Below are 19,747 nucleotides of genomic sequence, written 5' to 3'. Positions count from 1 at the left end.
ACCTAACAGGAAGTCTAGGTGCTTTCCAGGGCTCCTCCTCCTTGGCATGCCCTGAACTCCAAGTTTTGGTTCCCCTAGTCTTTAAGAATAGCCTTCTGGCTGGGTGTGGTAATTCTCATCTGTTATCCCAGCATTCTGGAAGGCCAAGGCAGGAGGATCCCTTGAGGCCAGCCTGGGCAACGTACGAGAACATCTCTACAACAACAACAACAATAATAATAATAGCTTTCCCTTCTCATAGCCTCTGAGCTAACACATCAGCAAATGCCTTGAGGAGAACACAAGTGCAGATTACTAGGCTCACCTTAATATTTTCCCTTCTCCCCAGGATCTCGGTCTCTTACACTCACACAGCCTTTGTAGCTAAAACTCTACGTTTTGTCTCCCAGCCCTACAAGACTGCCACAAGCTCCATGCATGGTCCTAGTTTTCTGGACACCACTTTCTGTTTTGTTCTTCACCTATCCAGCTCCATGCCCCTTATGAGCCAGCAAACATCTCAAGAGGAAAAGCATCACAGAACACTGCGTTCAGCCCATGAGCTTCCCTCCTCTTCAGGACCTGGTCCCTCCAGTGTTGGCCACCTTTCTTTTGTACTCTGTCCAGCTTTTCAAGATCACTGCGTGGGAATGTCGGTCTACAGGGTATTCCACAACATCTCCAAGGTGTGCCTGTACATGCAGCCACATCACAGAAAAATGTTAACATTAAGAAATCGCTTTTTCAATAAATTATTTGACACAAGTTAACAATCTAAAAACATAAGTCACAATTTTTCCAGAAAATAACTCACAGAACTTTGTTACTTCTTATTTGTAAAATATTCCACTAAATCAGAACAAAATTGCCTCTTTTAAAGTCTCCTTTCTGATTTACCACTTTGTAACTGAGAAATCCAGAGCCATTAGGAAACATGCCAAAATCACCATAAATCGTACTAAGTTATCTCCCCTCGGGCCCCACTGATTGCCAAACTCATTACCAAAATTACTTGAAGGTGTTGCTTCTTCACCTGATACCAACCATTTAGAAACCGATATTTAAACACTGGCTGCACTAAATCTCTTCACGCAGTATCAGTAAGGCATGTGCTGAGATCAGGGAAAAATGTGTTGCGGTCACATCTAATTGCAATAAAATAATAATGCTTTCTTCTACTTCCCTCTCTTTCTGACATCACAACACATAAACTGCAAAAAATAAAAATAAAAATAAAAACCAAACAAACTACTCTCCTTAATCCAAACGCTAAAATATGTCATCAAGGAGATGCGTGGGCACCCCCCCGCACACGGCTGTTGGCTGGATTTTCACAAGGCACAGGTACATGTTTTGCAGGTGTAGGGAACAAAGGCAGAAACCGTCACTGTCCTCAAAGTCCCTATGATTTCACAGAGAAAAAGATCTAAGAAAACAGCTAAGTACAATTAAACGCAGTACATCAATAGGTGCAAAACGTTCTTGTTCAAATGACATCCACACGTAAGGGCCAAGAAGCCTAACTTGAGTTCCCCGTGCGGGGGACGGTGGCGGGGGAAGGCAGTTCTGAAGCTCTGGGTTGTGGGCTAGTGCTTAAAACAACTGTTTACCACGGGAAACCGGGTTCACCAGAGATAAAAACGACTCAAGCTTGCACGCTCTTGCAACAGGAAGAAGTGTTCAAGGGCACGTCTGAATGGTTCTTGAAGCCCTTGTCTACACAGCCAAGGTATGGGAAAACTTAGTGTGCTCTGTGTGAGTGGGCTGTGGGGAAGGAATTGGTTTCTTGCAGTCAGAGCTAGGGAATAACACCTCAGCCTCTGCCATGGGGCTAACCTAGGCTGGCGTCCTAATCCAAGCAGGTCAGGCATAGGTCACGTGCACAACGCCAACTCAAATAGGACTCTGCAAATAAGGACACAAAAAGTTTGCAAGCCTGCCCTTCTTTCCAAAGACTAGAGATAACAGAACACGTACAAATAACAGATCCTTCTAGCCGCCCAAAATTCTATGAAGTGTGGGACCCTCTTTAGCATGTGACCTGCAAAAATCCTTACAAACATCAAGCCACACAGCACGCACAGCAGCCCATCCTCCCCTTAACGAAGTCAGTGACCAGGCAAAAGGTAAAGAAGAAAAATGGAAAGCACGCACAAACAGAGCCGTGTTATTTTTACAATATTTTACCATCTTTTCAAAGTCCAGGTGGGTCAGAAAACATCACAGAGAACATATAATGCAACTGAAGCTTAGGAAGAGTTTTCCCAAGTGGTTTCGCTATGATTATTTAAGGTATCTCATTCATATACTTTCAAGAGGAAAAATGCGTAGTATTATATTTAACCTTGAACTCAGTTTTGTGTGTATTTTTGTTTCTTTCCTTTTTTTTATAGACAGGATCTCACTCTGTTGCCCAGGCTGGAGTGCGGTGGTGCGATCACAGCTCACTACAGTCTGGAACTTCTAGACTCAAGCAATCCTTCTGCCTCAGCCTCCTCAGTAGCTAGGACTACAGACACATGTCATCATACCAGGCTAATTTCTGTACATTTTGTAGGGATGGGGTCTCTTTATGTTACCCAGGCTGATCTCAAACTCCTGGCCTCAAGTGGTACTCCCGCCTTAGCATCCTGAAGTTTTGATGTGTGAGCCACTGCGCCTGGCCCTCAACTTGTTTTGTTAATGATGCCTTCCTGTGGTCCTTTAAGTATATACAGGTTGAATATCATTATTTGAAATGCTTGGGACAAGAAGCATTTTGAATTTTGGATTTTTTCAGATTTTGGAATATCTGCATGTACATAATGAGATATCTTCAGGATGAGGCAGAAGCCTAAACAGAAAATTCATTTATGTTTCACATACACCTTACACATATAATTTTATACAATATTATTAATGATTGTGTGCATGAAATGAAGTTTAAACTGCCACCCGGCACCATGGTCAGCTGTGGAATTCTCCACTTGCAGTCAGCACTCAAAAAGTTTCAGATTTGGCCGGGCACGGTGGCTCATGCCTGTAATCCTAGCACTTTGGGAGGCCGAGGCGGGCGGATCTTGAGGTCAGGAGATCAAAACCATCCTGGCTAACACGGTGAAACCCCGTCTCTACTAAAAATACAAAAGAAAAAATAGCCGGGTGTGGTGGTGGGCGCCTGTAGTCCCAGCTACTCGGGAGGCTGAGGCAGGAGAATGGCGTGAACCCGGGAGGGGAGGCTTGCAGTGAGCCAAGATCGCACCACTGCACTCCAGCCTGGGCAACAGAGCAAGACTCCGTCTCAAAAAAAAAAAAAAAAGTTTCAGATTTGAGGGTGTTTGGGATTTCAGATTCTCAGCTTAGTGATGCTCAGCCTGTAACTATTCCTACAGGTTTTTATTTTCCAGGTGAGCCACAGGCGGCATGGAAATGCAGAACTCCTTTCCGGACTCAGGCCTTTGGGCATACCCTCCACATCCAGGCCCGCCTTCCCTCAAGAGCACAGTGCCAGCAGCATCGCCAGCTGTCACAATGCCCAATGCTTTAGCATTTAAAGACCTCTACGAAATATCCCCTGAGAACATGGCGACAACCAGCTGGAAACATTGCCCAGTGTGGCCGGCGTTCTGAGGATGACACTCATCCTCAGAGGACACTCTGAGAGGTGTCCAGCAGTGTCACCCACGGCTGGAAAGCGACTCCTTAGCAGTCCCTGGGAGTGTGGCAGAAGCCAAGCCCGGAGGGCCATCAGAGCTTCCTGCCACCCGCAACACCGCCACCAGGATGCACAAAGACTCTTTCACATGAGGGTGGATCGGTAGGCAGGTGCCAGGAGGCCTGAGTGGGCTCTGTTGCACCCACCATCCACCCCTGACAAAGACTGAAGTCAGTCCCTGTCTGGCTTTTTGAGGGTGGGATGGGGTCTTATTTGTGTTTGTGTCCCACCCATTACATGTCCTGGTACTCAGAAGCACCCAGTAAGCTCTCATGGACTCAACAGCTGAATGGACAGATGAATGAATGGATCTGAAATATAAGATAGGAAAGGCCATATCCATCCTCTGTCTTCCCCAACAATAGAGTTTTTATTTGCCCTTATCCTTTATCTGCCCTTTGAGGGAGGTATCACTTTCTGCATTTTACAGAGGAGGGAGCTGAGACTCTGTGAGTTATGTAATATACCTAAGGCTACAGAAATGCTAGCGGATGTAACAGGGATTGAACTTACGTCTCTCTGGATCCAGAATCTGCATCTTTCCAACATGTCAAATCATCTCCTTAGCAAAAGTCTGACTCTGCAAAATTTCTCAAGTAAAATATAAGAATAAGGAAAAATAAATACATTAATTTATGGATTTAATCTCAGATGATCTACAGTAAATGAGATAAGCCAAAACATGACAAAGCACACAACCAAACTGATGCTCAAAACCCACCTGGAAGCTGTTATTCCAGATGCAAACAGTGAGTGACTCAGAACCCTCAGGTTCCTGGGAAGGAGCTAAGGTCAAGACTGAGGGAGGAAGAGGAGGTGAAGGGGCGGGTAGGGGTCCAGGCAGCTGTCACTGCCTGCTCCATACCCCCAGCAGCATCCACAAAGCCCTGCTCTGGCTTTCCTGGTTCTTCCACACCCATGCTGCTGGCCTCTCTGATTAGATTATACCGCAAAACCTCTAGGGCAAGGACTGTCTTTTTTCCTTTTCAACCACAACGTCTATCACCATGCTACACATGGTCCTAATTCTATCCAACTGCATGTCCTTGCAGGCCCACCAATATCTCCCTTTTTTTTTTTTAAGAGACAGAGTCTCACTCTGTCACCCAGGCTGGAGGAGGGCAGTGGTGCCATGATCATAGCTCACTTCAGCATCGACCTCCTGCCTCAAGTGATCCTCCCACCTCAGCCTCCTAAGTGTCTAGGACAACAGGTGTACACCACCACACCCGGCTAATTTTTTTTTTTTTTTTTGGTAGAGACAGGGGTCTCACTATGTTGCGCAGGCTGACCTCAAGCTCCTAGCCTCAAGCAATCCGATCCCCCAACCTCAGCCTCCCAACATGCTGGGATTCCTGGCGTGAGACACCATGCCGAGGTTCAATGTCTCCTCTGAAAGGAAAGAAGTGGACAAAGCCATTCTGCAGATTCCCAACACTGTCACCGAGGCTGCCCGCACAGCTCTATTATCTGTCCTGAAGCATTGTTAAGAGACTGCGCTATCGTTCCATTGACAGTTTGAAGTTCAGTGACAGAATTATCTGGAGAGGGCAGACCCTGTGGGATGAAGGCCACACAGCTTCAGTCACAAAAGAAGGGCTATGTGCACCCATCACCAAGACACCCAGTGTCTGTGAGTCTTTGGTACAGTCACTGAAGGCCCTCTCTCCCACCTTTCCTTCACCCCTCACTGTCCCTCAGACCCCACTCTCATGCACACCTCCCGAGCCACAGGAAATACTCCACAAAGACACATCACATCTAAGATCTTATTTTAAGTGATCAAGGTCTAGGCAAACAGTTTTATGACTGACTCTAACTTGTTTTTAAGAGAAGGTTATTTCCTTTATGGCCTTCAACATGTTTAATACTGATTATTAAGAGTGCTAGAGTGCCCACAGGAGAAGGGGGGCTCCCCTCCTCACATACCAACCCCTAAGTCCTCAGTAAACTCACACAGACAAAAACAATTCTGTAAGTAATAAACGTAACAGGCTTGGCACATCTAATAATTACTTGGAAGAGAAATTGGGACTGGAATGCACAGAAAACAACCTATTTGGGATTTGCTTTTCACCGGCGAAGTCATCATCATCCGGCTCATGAATTCCCAAGGCCACTTGATGGGCGTTCATTACCAGTACGCGAAGCCACTCTAGAATGGCACTCTAAGAACCGTACCCCAGCTCCCAGCAAAGCCAGAGGTCTTCCCTGTGACTGCCCACAATCCACGCCATGGTGTGCAGGGCAAGTGGGGCCGGGTCGCTCACAGGCCTCTGCACCAAGGACAAGCCTCTAACTTAAAGTCTAATCTGCCTCTGCTGAGAACATGCCTTAGTTTTTCATCTTTGGTGATAATTACAATCTCCTTCCAGCTATGGGCAATGGAAAAATGTAGTAAGAATATCTTACTATTTTAAATAAAGTCAAGAAGACAGGACCAAAGCAAAGTATATGAAACCAAAAGCAAACATAACTTTTGGCTACAGTGGTTCTATAGCCACTGTGTCTCAAAATCCAGAAGCCACAAAAGAAAATATTCACACCTATGACCACATAAACATCAAAACTCCAGCCTGGCAAAAATCAAAGTGAAAAGACAAATGCAAAAACAAATTTAAAAGACAAATAACAAAAACTTGGAAACAGTATCTGCATGCGTTATCACGCATTAGGGAAGTCTGCTTCCCTAATACATAAAGCACTCCTAGCAATCCAAGAGAGAAAGTTCAACAACCACAAACACACATGGCTCTGATGTGAAACACGCGCAGCCTCCCTTCCAGTAAAAGAAATGCAAATTCAAACTATGTTTAGATACCATTTCTCACCTTTCCAAAACTGTGGTGACCCAGTCTACCAGTGAGGATGTGGTCGAACAGGCACCTTCGCCCACCTTTCACACAATCGCGCCTCAGAGTACACCAGCACAGGCCCCAGGAAGGGCGACTTGGTGATGTCAACCAAAGCCACAAATGCACACGCTCTGGCCTTGGCACATCCAATTGCAGAAATTCATCCTAAAGGTACACGTGCATGTTTGAGAATTGAAATTAAGAGAAATAAAATATATTATTCATTGTACTTTGTCTATAATAGCAAAATTTGGAATTAAGTCAAAGGTTCATCAATAGAGGACTGGTTATGTAAACTGGCATGTCTATTAAATGGGACACCAGATGGCTGTAAACAAAGGCAGAGGAGAGGTGTGGGGCGGCGGGTGGGACAAGAAAAAAGGGAAGCTTTCTGTGTGCGGACGTGGAAGGATCTGTAAGGCACATTGAGTGTCGAAAGCATGGTACAGGAAAATGGGCTTGATGAAGGGTGGAGGTGGCTAATTTGTTTTTAAAGTTGTTTATAAATGCATACAGAAATTCTAGAAGGATATATAAGAAACACGACTGCAGAGACAAGGCAGGGACAGAGTGGACAGCAGCAGGCATGAATGAATGCCTTTGATAATTGATTTTATTTCTGAACCATCTGATAGTTGCCCTTAAATAGAGGTTAGGGATGCCAGCCCGCTCCACGGTCAAAAATCCAAGTATAGCTTTTGACTCCCAAAAATGTAACTACTAATGGCCTATTGTTGACCATTACGGATAATATAAACTGCCAATTAACACACATTTTCAATGTTATATGTATTATGCATATACTTACAGTATTCTTATAATACAGTATACTACAGAAAAGAAAATGTTATTTAAAAAATTAGGGGCCAGGCATGGCAGCTCATGCCTGTAATCCCAACACTTTGGGAGGCTGAAGGGGGAGGATCACTTGAGGCCAGGAGTTTGAGACCAGCTTGGGCAACATAGTGAGACCCCCTTCTCCTCAAAATAAATGTAAAAATTAGTCAGGAGTGGTGACATGCCCTGTGGTCCCAGCTACCTGGGAGGTTGAGGTGGGAGGATCACTTGAACCTGACAGGTCAAGGCTGCAGGGTGCCAAGATGGCACCACTGCACTCAGCCTGGGCAACACTGCAAGACCCTGTCTCTTAAAAAATTTTTTTTTAATTAAAAAAAGAAAATCATAAGAAAGAGAAAATATATTTAGTATTCAGTAAGTGGAAGTGAACCATCATAAAGTTCTTCATTCTCGTTATCTTCACATTGAGTACGCTGAGGGGAGGAGGGAGAGTCAGGGTTGGCCATGCTGTCTCAGGCGGGGCAGAGACAGAAGCGATGAAGGAGGTGGGAACCGGGACAGGAAAGGCACGCACACTTGGTGTAACTTCACAAAACACACTGCAATTTCCATCTGCCTTTTTTGCTTTTTCATTTATCTAAGTGTTTCTAAACAGCACCAATTCTTCTTCCCCTGTTTGTTTAGTTTCAGTGCCCACTTCATAGACGGATTCATGTCATAAAAGAAGTCAAAAGCAGTCTGAATAACTGGAACCCTTCTGCCAGACTGTCTAATGTCAATTTATTTTCTGGCACTGCTTCTTCTATGTTTTTTTCCCATCACCTGGCCCTGGTTTGGAAGTACTTATCTCCATTAAGTCGTCCTGTGTTAATTCCTCTGGTGTGGTGTCTACTAGCTCTTGAATTTCTCCAAGATCCATATCTTGAAATCCTTCCTTCCCCCTCTCCCCTGGCGCACCTTTTTATTTTTTTTGCCATAGCCACAGTCTCTTTCATGATTTCCTTGGTTGGCTCTGTTGCAAATCCCATGAAGTCATGCACAACATCTGGACAGAGTTTTCTGCAGCAGGAATTTATTGTTTCGGGTTTGATAGCTCTCACAGTTTTTTCTGTTACAACAGTGGCACCTTCAATGGTGAAATCCTTTCAGATTTTCCTGACCTTCTCTCTATCAGGGTTCTCCTTCACAGCGTTATTATCCTTTCCATAGAACGCCGTGTGTAATGAGCCTTAAAGGTCCTTTTGAGACCCTGATCTAGAGGCTGATATGAGATGTCTTATTTGAGGGCAAATAGACCATTTCAGTCTTCAGCCTTCAGTGTTGAACTCATGGGGTTCTGGGTGGCCAGGGGCACTGTCCAGTATTGAAAGAAGTTTAAAAGGCAGTCTCTTACTGGCAACGTACTTCCTGACTTCAGGGACAAAACACTGATGGAACTAATCCAGGAAAAGAGTTCTCACTGTCCAGGCCTTCTTGTTCTACAATCAAAAGACTGGCAGCTGGTGTTCACCTTTTTCCTTCAAGGCTCAGGGGCCGTCCTGTTCATAAACCCAACTGCATTTGCACAAAATGATAAGAGTTAGCCTATCCATGCTGCTTCTCTTCCTTACTAATAAATGTCCTTTGTAGCTTTTTTTTCCAGAATAGACCACTTTCATCTGCATTTATAAACCTATAGAGGCAGATATTCTTTCTCCTCAATGATTTTCTTAATGGTATCTGGGAACTCAACTGCTGCTTCTCCTATTATCTTGACTTTTTTTTAAGCCAAATCTCTTTCTAAAATTATCAAACCATCCCTTGCTGGCACTGAATTCTCCATCTTTAGATCCTTTGCATTTCTTTTGCTTTGTCATATAACGACTTTGCTTTTTCTCAAATCTTATTAGAGTCTATAGGTGAGCTTTCTAATAGCCATCCTTCTACCATATAAAAGCTGCATTTTCAATACAAGATACAAAGGTATTTTGCAAAAAGTGCAAAGTTTTTGTGCCTGTTGGCATATAGCTGCAGTGACGGCTTCACAAATTTCCTTTTCTTTTTTCCAGTGGTTCTTATGCTGGTTTCATTTATCTTGAAATGGCAAAAGGTAACCACAGCTGCCAACCTCAATCTACAGCACAAATCGAGCAATTCAACTTCTTCTTGCAATGTCATGACTTTTCTCTGCTTCTTGGGAGCACTTCCAGCATCACTAGGGGTACTTCCTATGGGTTTGGGTCCCATGTTGCTCTTCGAGGCTTATGGTATTGCAGGAAATACAGTGAAAATATGCAAGAACCTCAAGAGATTCCTTTTCACTGTGACATGAAATTTACTGTTGAGAAGAACTGCTCATGCGGAGATGATAAGGATCACATAGTGTCTTAAGTGGATACTGAAAAAACTTGAGCTGACCACAATAGCAACCAGATGTGGCTACAAAATTATTACAGTAGTATAGCAATGGACTACAGTTAATTTTATGCAGTTATGATTTAATACTACATCTTTGTGTTTGCGTTACATTTCTCGACTGCAAATGGTACCATGTATATATGTAAGTGTGTGCATAAGTTTTGATAAGATTTAACTTTTTATAACAGGTACGCATATATTTTACAGTAATAAAAATGACAAAATAGACTAGTATCTACATATATTTTATGCATTCATGACATGCCTAACTTTGTCTTAATTTTTTTCAATATTTCTAGGCTACGAGATTCATATGCAAGTTTATTCAAATATTTGAAAATCTCCAAAAATTTCCAATATATTTATTGAAAAAAATCTGTATACAAGTAGGCCCACACAGTTTCAACCCATGTTGTACAAGAGTCAACTAAGTTTTTCAGTTTTTCAACTGTGAAATGATAAACACGCCCTCCGTCAGCAGGCTGACGCATGCAGGCTGAGTCTGCCTTCCTCACACTCCTTCCGTCTGCTGTGTCATCTTCCCTGTCCCCATCCCTAGGGATCCCTCCTACACCCCCACAGCAGGACCAGGTTTAGCAGTCTCCCATCTTCAGGTCTGTGTCCATGACAAGGAGTTTCATAAAATGGAAATTATTCTTGAATATCATAATTTGAAACCAAAACAAATGGGGCCCATTGCCCAAACCTGCAGCAGGTTAAACTCAAAAGGGCTGATGTTGCCATGACAAGGATTGAAGCGTGTGTCGGTGTATACAGGGCAGTGGCTGCCTGGCCTCATTCCTCAGGGGAGTCTGAAAGAACCACCTTCCCAGCCCTCCCCAGCAGCTTCCAGGTGGCCTGCCCCACAGCCTGTGCTGCGACAGCATGCTGGGGACTCCCTGAAGTCATCCCTGCTGCACGAGACCATTCTGACCAAGCCAGGCCCAACACAGAGATACAGACCTGACACTAGCACCAAGAGGGCCATCTCCCATCTCTGCACTCTTCAACATGTGAGTACCAACCAACTGTGAGCTCAGGAAATCTTCTTTGAAAAACTAACTCCTCCTCCTCCCCTTCCCCACGCTGCCCACACCATACAGTCACAACATTCTACAGAGGAACCACCTTTCAGCCAGAGATGCTGAGAGGTGGAGACCTCTAGGAATATCTAAGGTCCAACTCCTGTGCAACATCCACCAAGATGAGCCCTGAGTGTGGAAGCCGGGAAGCCGCCCAGGTCCTGGCCTGGGAGCCTGTGCACTGGAGTCCAGGACTGCAGCAGCAGGGCTGCCTCCCGGGGGGACCAGACCCCAGGACCCTGGATCCACCCCTGGCGGTGCAGGACTCTACTCAAATCCTTCCAGGTGCTTGCTTTGCCTGAAAAATTCCAGAAATGACTTCCTGGTGACAACTGCACTGTCTACCAACACTTCAGGCCATAGTTTGCAGATGACTCGTGGGCCTTTGTACAACTGAAGCTCATTCCTTCTTTTCATCACATCTTATGGAGCAGCTAGGATCTCCTTAGCCCTCTTACTAGGAGAACCTGGTGCTTATCTAGCTAATGCCTTCAACAAGAGGTCCCCAGAAAGATGCATGGGCTTCCCATTCCTAAGAGGGTTCTGTTCTATTTTGGGGGTTTTTCATCTTCCTTTCTCTTTTTCTTGGGGAGTGAGGAGGAGGGGGATTCATTTAAAAGATTTAGCTCATGTAGAAAATAACTCCCTTTTTCTTTCATCAAAAGGAAAGTCTCGGACAGGAGCAGTAGCTCGCACCTGTAATCCTAGGGCTTTGGGAGGCCAAGGCAAAAGGACTGCTTGAGCCCAGGAGTTTGAGACCAGCCCAGGCAACATAACGAGAGCCCCTCTCTACAAGAAAGGAAAGAAGGAAGGAGAAAAGGAGAGAAGGAGGGCAGGGAAGGAAACGGGGAGAGAGAGAGAAAGAGCGAGAGAAAGGAAGAAAGACAAAAAAAACTAGCTGGCATGGTGGCATGCACCTGTAGTCCTAGCTACTCAGGAGGCTGAGGAGGAAAGATTGCTGGAACCCAGGAGCTGAGGCTGCAGTGAGCTATGATCGTACCACTGCACTTCAGCCTGGGCATCAGAGTGAGACCCTGCCTCTAGGGAAAAAAAATTGTCTTCAGAAGACAAAGTTAACCTATTTCCCCCTCAACGGATCTGACGAGACATCTGGGCCGGGGTCTAGGCACCACATGGCTGCTGTCCAGCATGTGCCCTGCAGGGGTGCACTCCTGCCCTCCGGTGCCTTCCCTGTGGGCAGCTCTGAGGTCAGCTGAGTGCCCAGGGCAGACAGCCCCAGGCCACTGGAGAAGTCTAAAGAATCTGTCTATTCATTAAAGCCTACCCCCAATAAATCTTTCTAAAAAGCAGGAACCAAAAGCTTTCCTCTTGGACCATGGCCAAGTTCTCATTTTACAGTCAGCAGCAGGTCGGGCTCCAAATCTGCATATAACAGTAACTGCATGTAACATAACTGCACTGCATGTAACATAACTGCACGTAACATAACTCCATATAACAAAACTGCATAAACATGACTGCATGTAACACAACTGCATGTAACATAACAGCATGTAACAGTAACTGCATGTACCATAACTGCATAAACATAACAACTGCATGTACCATAACTGCGTGTAACAGCAGTGCATGTTTTCCTCCTTTCCCTCTGTAGTTGCAGAGCTAGCAAGGCGTTCTGGCCTCCAGGAACCTTCTCACCAGGGCATACATTCCCCTTCCACTTGGGGCAGAATAAATTTCATGCAGGACACTCATCTGCATTTGGCCTCCATGCACATCAGTAAGTATTTAACTGAAAATGTAAAAGGTCTCTGAGGCTGAAACAGCAAAGCCCTGTGAGTTTCCTTTAACCTATCCCCAAATCTGTCCCCCTCAAGTATCCCATTCCCCAGGTAGTGCCAGTGCTTCTTGAAGCAGTTGCTTTTAACAGTTTTCTCTGAAGTGAAATACCATCGCAGCAAGCTGTTACTCCCCTGCACAGAGCTGCTGAAAACTAATCATCGAGCTTCAAACGCCAGGTTTGGCAAACTCTGGCTACAGAAAACCACTAATCTTGTGATGGCATTTTAGAGGTCTCCACTGAATCACATTTCCAAATGAAATAAACCCAGTCTCCCAAACTGGGCTGCGTTGGAAACAAGGAAACAAACAGCCGGCGACAGCAGTGAATTACAAGTGGCATGCTAATTACCAGTCCACATCCAGAAATAGCTGAAGACTGCAGGGTCTGTGTTGTTGTTGTTGTTAAAATAACTACAGCCTTTATCCCAGGGTTGGGCAAAGCATCTGATTTATTCAAATGCTTCAGCTTCTAAACATCATCACATTTATATGTACGTATCTGGGAGGGGGAGAGAGTGGAGGGAAACTGAGGGTTGGGGCAGGGTAAGACAGCACTTGGTAGGCGGTCAGGAGAGGGCTGCCCAGCGGGGCTGGTCCCTCCCCTGCCATCAAACCCATAAAACCTCCCAGGAGCTCTCCTGCCTGTCTGCCCAATGACGCCCACCTCAGACCCTGCAGAGAAAGGAAGGGGACAGAGGACGCCTGGTCCCTATGGTTTCTTTAGGCCATCCATCACTTACTCCACAGGAGGTGCACGATGGGCAATGGGGCCTAGTGAGGGTCACAAAATTCACACAGAAAGAATCTTGCTTCAAGAAACTTACAATCCATTAAGGAGAGGGACAGGAAAGAGTGCATGAGCATGACAGAAACGTGGTCGTTTTGTGCCACCACCCTTGGCTCCTGGGGACAAGGTGAGCTTCCGTCTCTGCACGTGCAAGTTCAGCTGAAGAGATGAGGCCACCCCTACGGTTCCTGCTGGCACTGTGGGTGCAGACGTGACCCACAGGACTTAATTTTAGAATGCAGAGCCAGAGCTCTGTTAAGAGAATCTTCCCCACCCCCCTCGCCCCAAGCCCCAGCCTTCTGTCACCCTATCACCCTCTAAATATGCAACAGCACCCTCTACTCCACTCTCAAGTTCGAGAATGGTCCAGCGGGAAGTCTCCTTCAAGCTCATCTGGTCCAGCACAGGTTACTCTGCGCTGACTGGAGTTGTGGGGAAAGAGTGTTCTGGGTTCGCATACATTTAGGACATTCTGGGTTAAATAACACTGAGGTTTTCTGTACAGAAGGACCACTGGCGTCTCCAGCACGCTAAAGGTACACTGAGGCTCTCCAAGATAGGACCGAGTAGGCAGCATCCCTAAACTCACTGGCTGGAAATGCTTCCCACTCCCAACACCTGTACCCCCCCAACCACGGACACCCCGGCCAGTTCGGCCTCCTTCCCCTTCAGCTGCAGGGCACACACGAGCCCCACTCCAGCGGCCGCTGAGGGCATAGTGCGGAGACACACATGCTCCTCAGGGCGCTCACAGCGGGGACTCGGGCACTGGAAGATCAGCCCTCACAGCCAAGCAGCCAGGTGCCACGGGTTCAGCGCTGGGACGCGCTGCCGGCTCCCAGTTCACCACCCTTCCTTCCTTCCCACACCCCATCTCTGATCATGAGAGGTGTCTGTTCAGCCTCAGAAATGCAAGACCAGATGGAGGCCTCCAGAGAGAAATCCTCAGCAGCCTAGACCCCTCACTGAAATACAACCCAATGCATTCCCTCTGCCCACTCTGACACTTCTTAGTGTGAACGCCACCAAGAAATTCTTGGGTGCAGGGGCTGATCATATAAAGATGAACTAAAGATGCCAAATTCCTTCATCCTGCTGTCACTCATCTCACAGCCAATTCTCACACACCCACCCCGAAATAAGCCAGGAGAAGGAGAGGGTTCCGGGTATCTCTACCGGGACAGGCCCAGGAGGAAGAGTGAGGACAATGGGGCTCCATGCTGGCACCGGGTGCCTTATTGCAGGCCTCCCTTGGGGCAGCAGTCATGGCTGACCCCGCGAATGTCATGTCCTTGGGAAAAAAGGCCATCAGAACAGAACCTGCCCTCTAGTTCCCAGGCCCTGCAGAGGGCTCCAGCCCTCACCACTGCCATCTGTTCTGCCTGGTGAGGTGGCCTTGTGGCTGAGGCAGAGCACAGGCGCGGGGTGGGCAGGAGAGTGGGAAGAGGCTGCCGGCCCCCTCTGCGGGCCTGGCTCTCTGCTGTGCCTGGACAGACTCCAACTGTAAGGAGGCACCTGCTGGCCCTGGAACCACGGCTCTCCAGAGACAAGCAGGAACCGGAAGCCAGGCTGGGGCATGGAATTTGCAGGAACCAAGATGTGTGAAGCATGGGGCAGAGCCACATGGGCTGTGACCAGCTGTTCCCAAATCAAACACATTGTCTCTGTGTTCACACAAAGCCAGCAACTGAGCCATGAGAGGCTGATGTGTGCAGGCACCAGGGGAACACAGGTGGGCTGCCTTCAGTGTGGGGAAAAATATCCTCCAGACATGAGGACCCTAAAACACCCACCACCACCAATGCAGACGTCACCACCAGCAGCCATGTAGAAGTCACAAATCTGCTTCCTGAAATTTACCTTTTTTTTTTAAGAGACAGGGTCTTGCTCTATCGCCCAGGCTGGAGGGTAAGTGGCATGATCATAGCTCACTGCAGCCTCAACCTCCCAGGCTCAAGTGGTCCTCCTGCTTCAGCCTCCTGAGTAGCTTGGATTACAGCTGTGCACCACTATACCTGACTAAATTTCTATTTTTTTATAGATGGGGTCTTGCTGTGTTGTCCAGGCTGGTCTCAAACTCCTGAGCTCAAGTGATCCTCCTGCCTCGACCTCCCAAAATGCTAGAATTACAGGTGTGAGTTGCCACACCCAGTCCTGAAATTCACTTTTAAGTGTCACACCAGCCTGGTCTTCCCACTAAAAATAAAAGGCTGTGTCACAGAGGGCTTTAGTCTCAAACTCAGGGCTCACGAGTGCTCTTGTCCCAGTTCCATAGGTGTCTGGCCCCTGCAGCCAGCTGCTCAGGCTTTTCTTCCTCTAAGGTGGGGAGGTGTAAGGCAGAGGATAGATGCTACCCACCTTGTGATGAGACCAGGAAAGGGCACATGTTCAAAACCAAACCGCTAAACAAAGATTTTTAAATGCTTTTGCTTTAAGATATCAAACAGGCACACTATATGCTTGAGAAACTCCACTACGTTTGCTAAAATGTGTCTATTTCAGAAAGAGGGTCTCGCCAGCATTGAGCTACAGTCACCCCGTCCACCATCCAGCACAGTGTAAGCAAGCCCCTGGCAGGGAAGGGTGCTCCGATCTCACACTAACTGGGCAGGAATTTATAGAAATGATAGTCACTTTTCCAAGGACATCAACACCTCTTCCTTTTTTTGTTATAATACAAATGTCCCTTAAATGCCTACATACTACGTAAAATCATGACTCTAAGTTAAGCACTCCCTTTTAGAATGTCAGAGGCAGTGATGAAGGCAGCCTGTGGATGCTCCCCCAGAATTTCAAGAATGGAGTAATTTTGGACAAGCCCACATGGTCAGACTACGCATGACGTATGGATGCCTGCTTTCCCAGAGTGTGGCAAGGCCCACGGATGTCTCAGAGCAATCCCAAGTTCAGGCAGGATGGACTTCAACCAGACTGCCACAGGCCAGTGGCCCCGCAGCACGTCCTGTCCGCATCAAGTGACCCCCAAGGAGCTGTGCCCAGAGCAGCTCCATCACCATGCCCAAAGCGGCAACATCACCATGCCCACAGCAGCTCCATCACCATGCACAATGCAGCTCCATCACCATGCCCAGAGCAGCTCCATCACCATGCCCAAAGCAGCAACATCACCATGCCCAGAGCAGCTCCATCACCGTGCCCAGAGCAGCTCCATCACCATGCCCAGAGCAGCTCCCATCACCGTGCCCAGAGCAGCTCCATCACCGTGCCCGGAGCAGCTCCATCACCGTGCCCAGAGCAGCAAAATTGCCGTGCCCGGAGCAGCTCCATCACCATACCTGGAGCAGCTCCATCACCATGCCCACAGCAGCTCCATCACTGTGCCCAGAGCAGCTCCACCACTGTGCCTAGAGCAGGTCCATCACCGTGCCCGGAGCAGCAACATCACCGTGCCCAGAGCAGCTCCAACATTGTGCATTTCCATTTAAGCTCCAGGCAGGCCTCCAGCCCCAGGATTCCTACCAGGACCATAATGCTGGCTTCCTAGTGATAGATGCCAGGAATCTCCAAGGTCTCTAAACACTGATCCCCACCCCCAGCTTGTGCACCATTGCACCCTGGAACCAGAGCCCTGCCCCTCAACAGCAGCAGGGAGGCTGCCTCTCAGTAATCATCTGGCTTACCCATCACTGTGGCAGGCCTGTCCCCCTAGGGTGTCCCCATGTCAGGCCATGTCCATGTCTTACCCAGGCTCTGCCTGCTGCATGCCCCATGCATCTTCCTGGTTAGCGCCTATAACTAAGAGAGGGCCCAGCCTCCACTTTCAGCTTCAGTCCAAATCCTGGCCCCAGCCACATGCCTTAGCACCTGAACCATCAAAGCAAGGCCTGTCCAGCATCTTAGATACCACCGATGGGCCTGGTAGGGACTTCAACACTGGACTTATTATTTTTTGTTTTAGAGACGGTCTCACTCTGTCACCCTAGCTGGAGTGCAGTGGTGGGATTATAGTTCACTGCAGCCTCAACCTCCTGGGCTGAAGTGATCCTCCTGTCTCGGCCTCCCAAGTAGCTGGGAGTACAGGTGCATGCCACCATGCCCAGCTAATTTCTTTAAAAACTTTTTTGTAGAGACAGGGTCTCATTATGTTACCCAAGCTGGTCTTGGACACCTGGCTTCAAGCCATCCTCCCACCTCAGCCCCCCAAAGTGCTGGGATTACAGGCATGAGCCACTGCACTGGGCCCAACATTAAACTTTAAATTTGGGCACCAACATCATGACTTTGGATTCAGGAGACAGTGTTTTGATGACTGGAACAGGCGCTCCCCTTCCAGAAAGTGCCTGTGCTGGCCAGCAGCTCTGGTAGGTAATGAGGGTTAAGTGGTCCCAGCACCCACAGGTGCACCACAGAGCAACAGAGAAAGGGCCATGTGACTCTACTGGCCAGAAAACACCAAACGGTGCTATGATCCCCACCTCGGGCCTCAGTGGCAAAGTCCCTTCCAAAATGCAGAGGCCCCTTAGTACCCAGAGTGGCTTAGCTCTGATCCCTGCTCAGCGAACATCCTCGGGGACAGAGGCCTTCTCTTATCAAAGAGGGCAGTGATTTCCTTTCAGAACACGAAGCAAAATAAAAAACAAGTACCCAGGTGAGAAGAGGAAGTCGTGAACTGTGCACCATGAAAGGCCAGGCGCTCTCATGAACACCATCTCCCGCAAACCCACGAGAACCCGCTGGCGGGGAAGGAATCCCCTCGCTACACAGACAAAGAACCTGGGTGCAGACAGGTGAACTGACTGCCCAGGGCACATAACGAGTCCATGGTGGCTCCAGAAACCCACCCTGGTCAGCCTGCCCTCAAAGCTCACGGCCTCCTCACACAGCTGTGTGGTCATGACCTTGTGGAAAGCAGGTCTTAAAACAATTTTTAAAGGCTGAAAAGAAATGCACACAAAGGAAAATGTGGTTGTGTGAAAATAGTGGCAGAATGGATGGCTTCTGCTCTTTTCTTTGTTGCTAAATTTTCTTGTTTTTATTATTTTAAAATGCTTTAAATTAAATAATAAAAGGCTGTTTATGGCCAGGTTCTGTGGCTCACGCCTGTAATCCCAGCACTTTGAAAGGCTGAGGCAGGAGGATTGCTTGAGCCTAAGAGTTCTTTAAAAAAAAAAAAAAAAGGTTAAGAGAAGTCCTAGGGTGGGTCCCTAATCTGACGGGGCTGGTGTCCTTACTGGAAAAGGAAAAGACCCCTCATGTGTGCCCAGAGAAGAGGCCACATGAGGACCCAGGGACATGGTGGCAGTCTCTGAGCCCGGAAGACAGGCCTGACCAGAAGCCAACCCTGACAGCACCTTGATCTTGGATTTAGAGCCTCCAGACCTGACAGAAAATACATTTCTGTCATTTAAGTCACCCGGTCTGTGGTACTTTGTTAGGACAGCCCTAGCAGATTCATATACCTCAGCCTATCCTGACAGAGGACCCTAAAACATCTCACAAGCTTATACAGAAGAATCACAGCCCGGTCTGATTTGGCGGTCGCCTCTTGCGAAGCAGAAGTCATCTACGGCACTCTGTTCCTGCTCTAACATGACAGGTCATGCCTCCTGGCTTCTGGGCACAGCACTCGTGAAACCGCGCTGGAGGGATGCACGAGAGATGCCCGCCAGGCGCAGGAGCCCTTGACGGAAGAGGCAAGAGCGCTGGTTCTGCTCCTGCCTCCACCCTGGGCTGCCGGTGGGGTCCTGGGCAAGGCACCCCGCCTCGCAGCCTCAGGTCTTCTCTTTGCACAGTATGAGAGGGGAGCCAGTGATCTTCCAGGGTACTTGGGAGTCCCAAAGCTCCAACTTTACAAATTCTGCCTTCCTCAGCACACAGTCCTCAGTCTCACACACAAAACCCCAAATACAATTCTTTTTGTACAAACATTAAAAGCACACATATCAAAATATATACATGATGGTTTATTTCTACTAGAGAAGGCTTATAGCCTCATAGGAGCATGTATATTTAAGCCACAGCAGCTATGCTATTTCTTGCAGGTATTCAAGAATATGTATTCCCTGAAAAACCACACAAAGTTACTTTTCCCCCTTGGGAGTCACCAGACTACCACCATCATAGCTCAGTCAGTATACAATGCTTAACATTTCAAGGTGCCAGTTGATTCTTTAAAACACATTCTGCTTCTTCTACAGATTTAACTTTGTGTACAAGCCACTGGATAGGGAAGATATGTTTGATGTTATTAGTAAGTCCAGGTGACATGCACGATGCAGCTGACTTTGCAGGGAGATGGTGAAGAAGCCCTGCACCCACGCCAGGCTTCCACACACAGGAGCCACTGGTATTCCCTGGGCTCGGGCACAGTATGACCCCACACATGCAGCTG

At 47.6% G+C, this 19,747-nt stretch overlaps 1 protein-coding gene across 39 annotated transcripts in view, besides 3 other annotated features; it reads right to left on the bottom strand.

Annotated features, from left to right (window-relative positions):
• The window catches only part of LDLRAD4 (low density lipoprotein receptor class A domain containing 4), a 435,073-nt gene that overhangs the window by 337,644 nt on the left and 77,682 nt on the right, over positions 1–19,747 (bottom strand). The gene's annotated exons all lie outside the window — the stretch shown is intronic.
• Positions 10,502–11,001: an enhancer, noted in NCBI's record as "H3K4me1 hESC enhancer chr18:13304109-13304608 (GRCh37/hg19 assembly coordinates)". NCBI's record gives its function as "activates a minimal SCP1, AML or CMV promoter by ChIP-STARR-seq in naive H9 embryonic stem cells {active_cell/tissue: H9 hESC(naive)}" and the evidence as "EXISTENCE:reporter gene assay evidence [ECO:0000049][PMID:30033119]".
• Positions 11,002–11,503: an enhancer, noted in NCBI's record as "H3K4me1 hESC enhancer chr18:13303607-13304108 (GRCh37/hg19 assembly coordinates)". NCBI's record gives its function as "activates a minimal SCP1, AML or CMV promoter by ChIP-STARR-seq in naive H9 embryonic stem cells {active_cell/tissue: H9 hESC(naive)}" and the evidence as "EXISTENCE:reporter gene assay evidence [ECO:0000049][PMID:30033119]".
• Positions 12,616–12,801: a silencer, noted in NCBI's record as "fragment chr18:13302309-13302494 (GRCh37/hg19 assembly coordinates)". NCBI's record gives its function as "represses an EF-1alpha promoter that drives an FKBP-Casp9 reporter gene in an ReSE screen in phorbol 12-myristate 13-acetate-treated (for megakaryocytic differentiation) K562 erythroleukemia cells {active_cell/tissue: K562(+PMA)}" and the evidence as "EXISTENCE:reporter gene assay evidence [ECO:0000049][PMID:32094911]".

Source organism: Homo sapiens, chromosome 18 (genome assembly GCF_000001405.40).
Source record: "Homo sapiens chromosome 18, GRCh38.p14 Primary Assembly".
In the NCBI taxonomy this organism is placed as follows: domain Eukaryota; kingdom Metazoa; phylum Chordata; class Mammalia; order Primates; family Hominidae; genus Homo; species Homo sapiens.
This window is presented reverse-complemented; position numbering and strand designations above follow the sequence as displayed.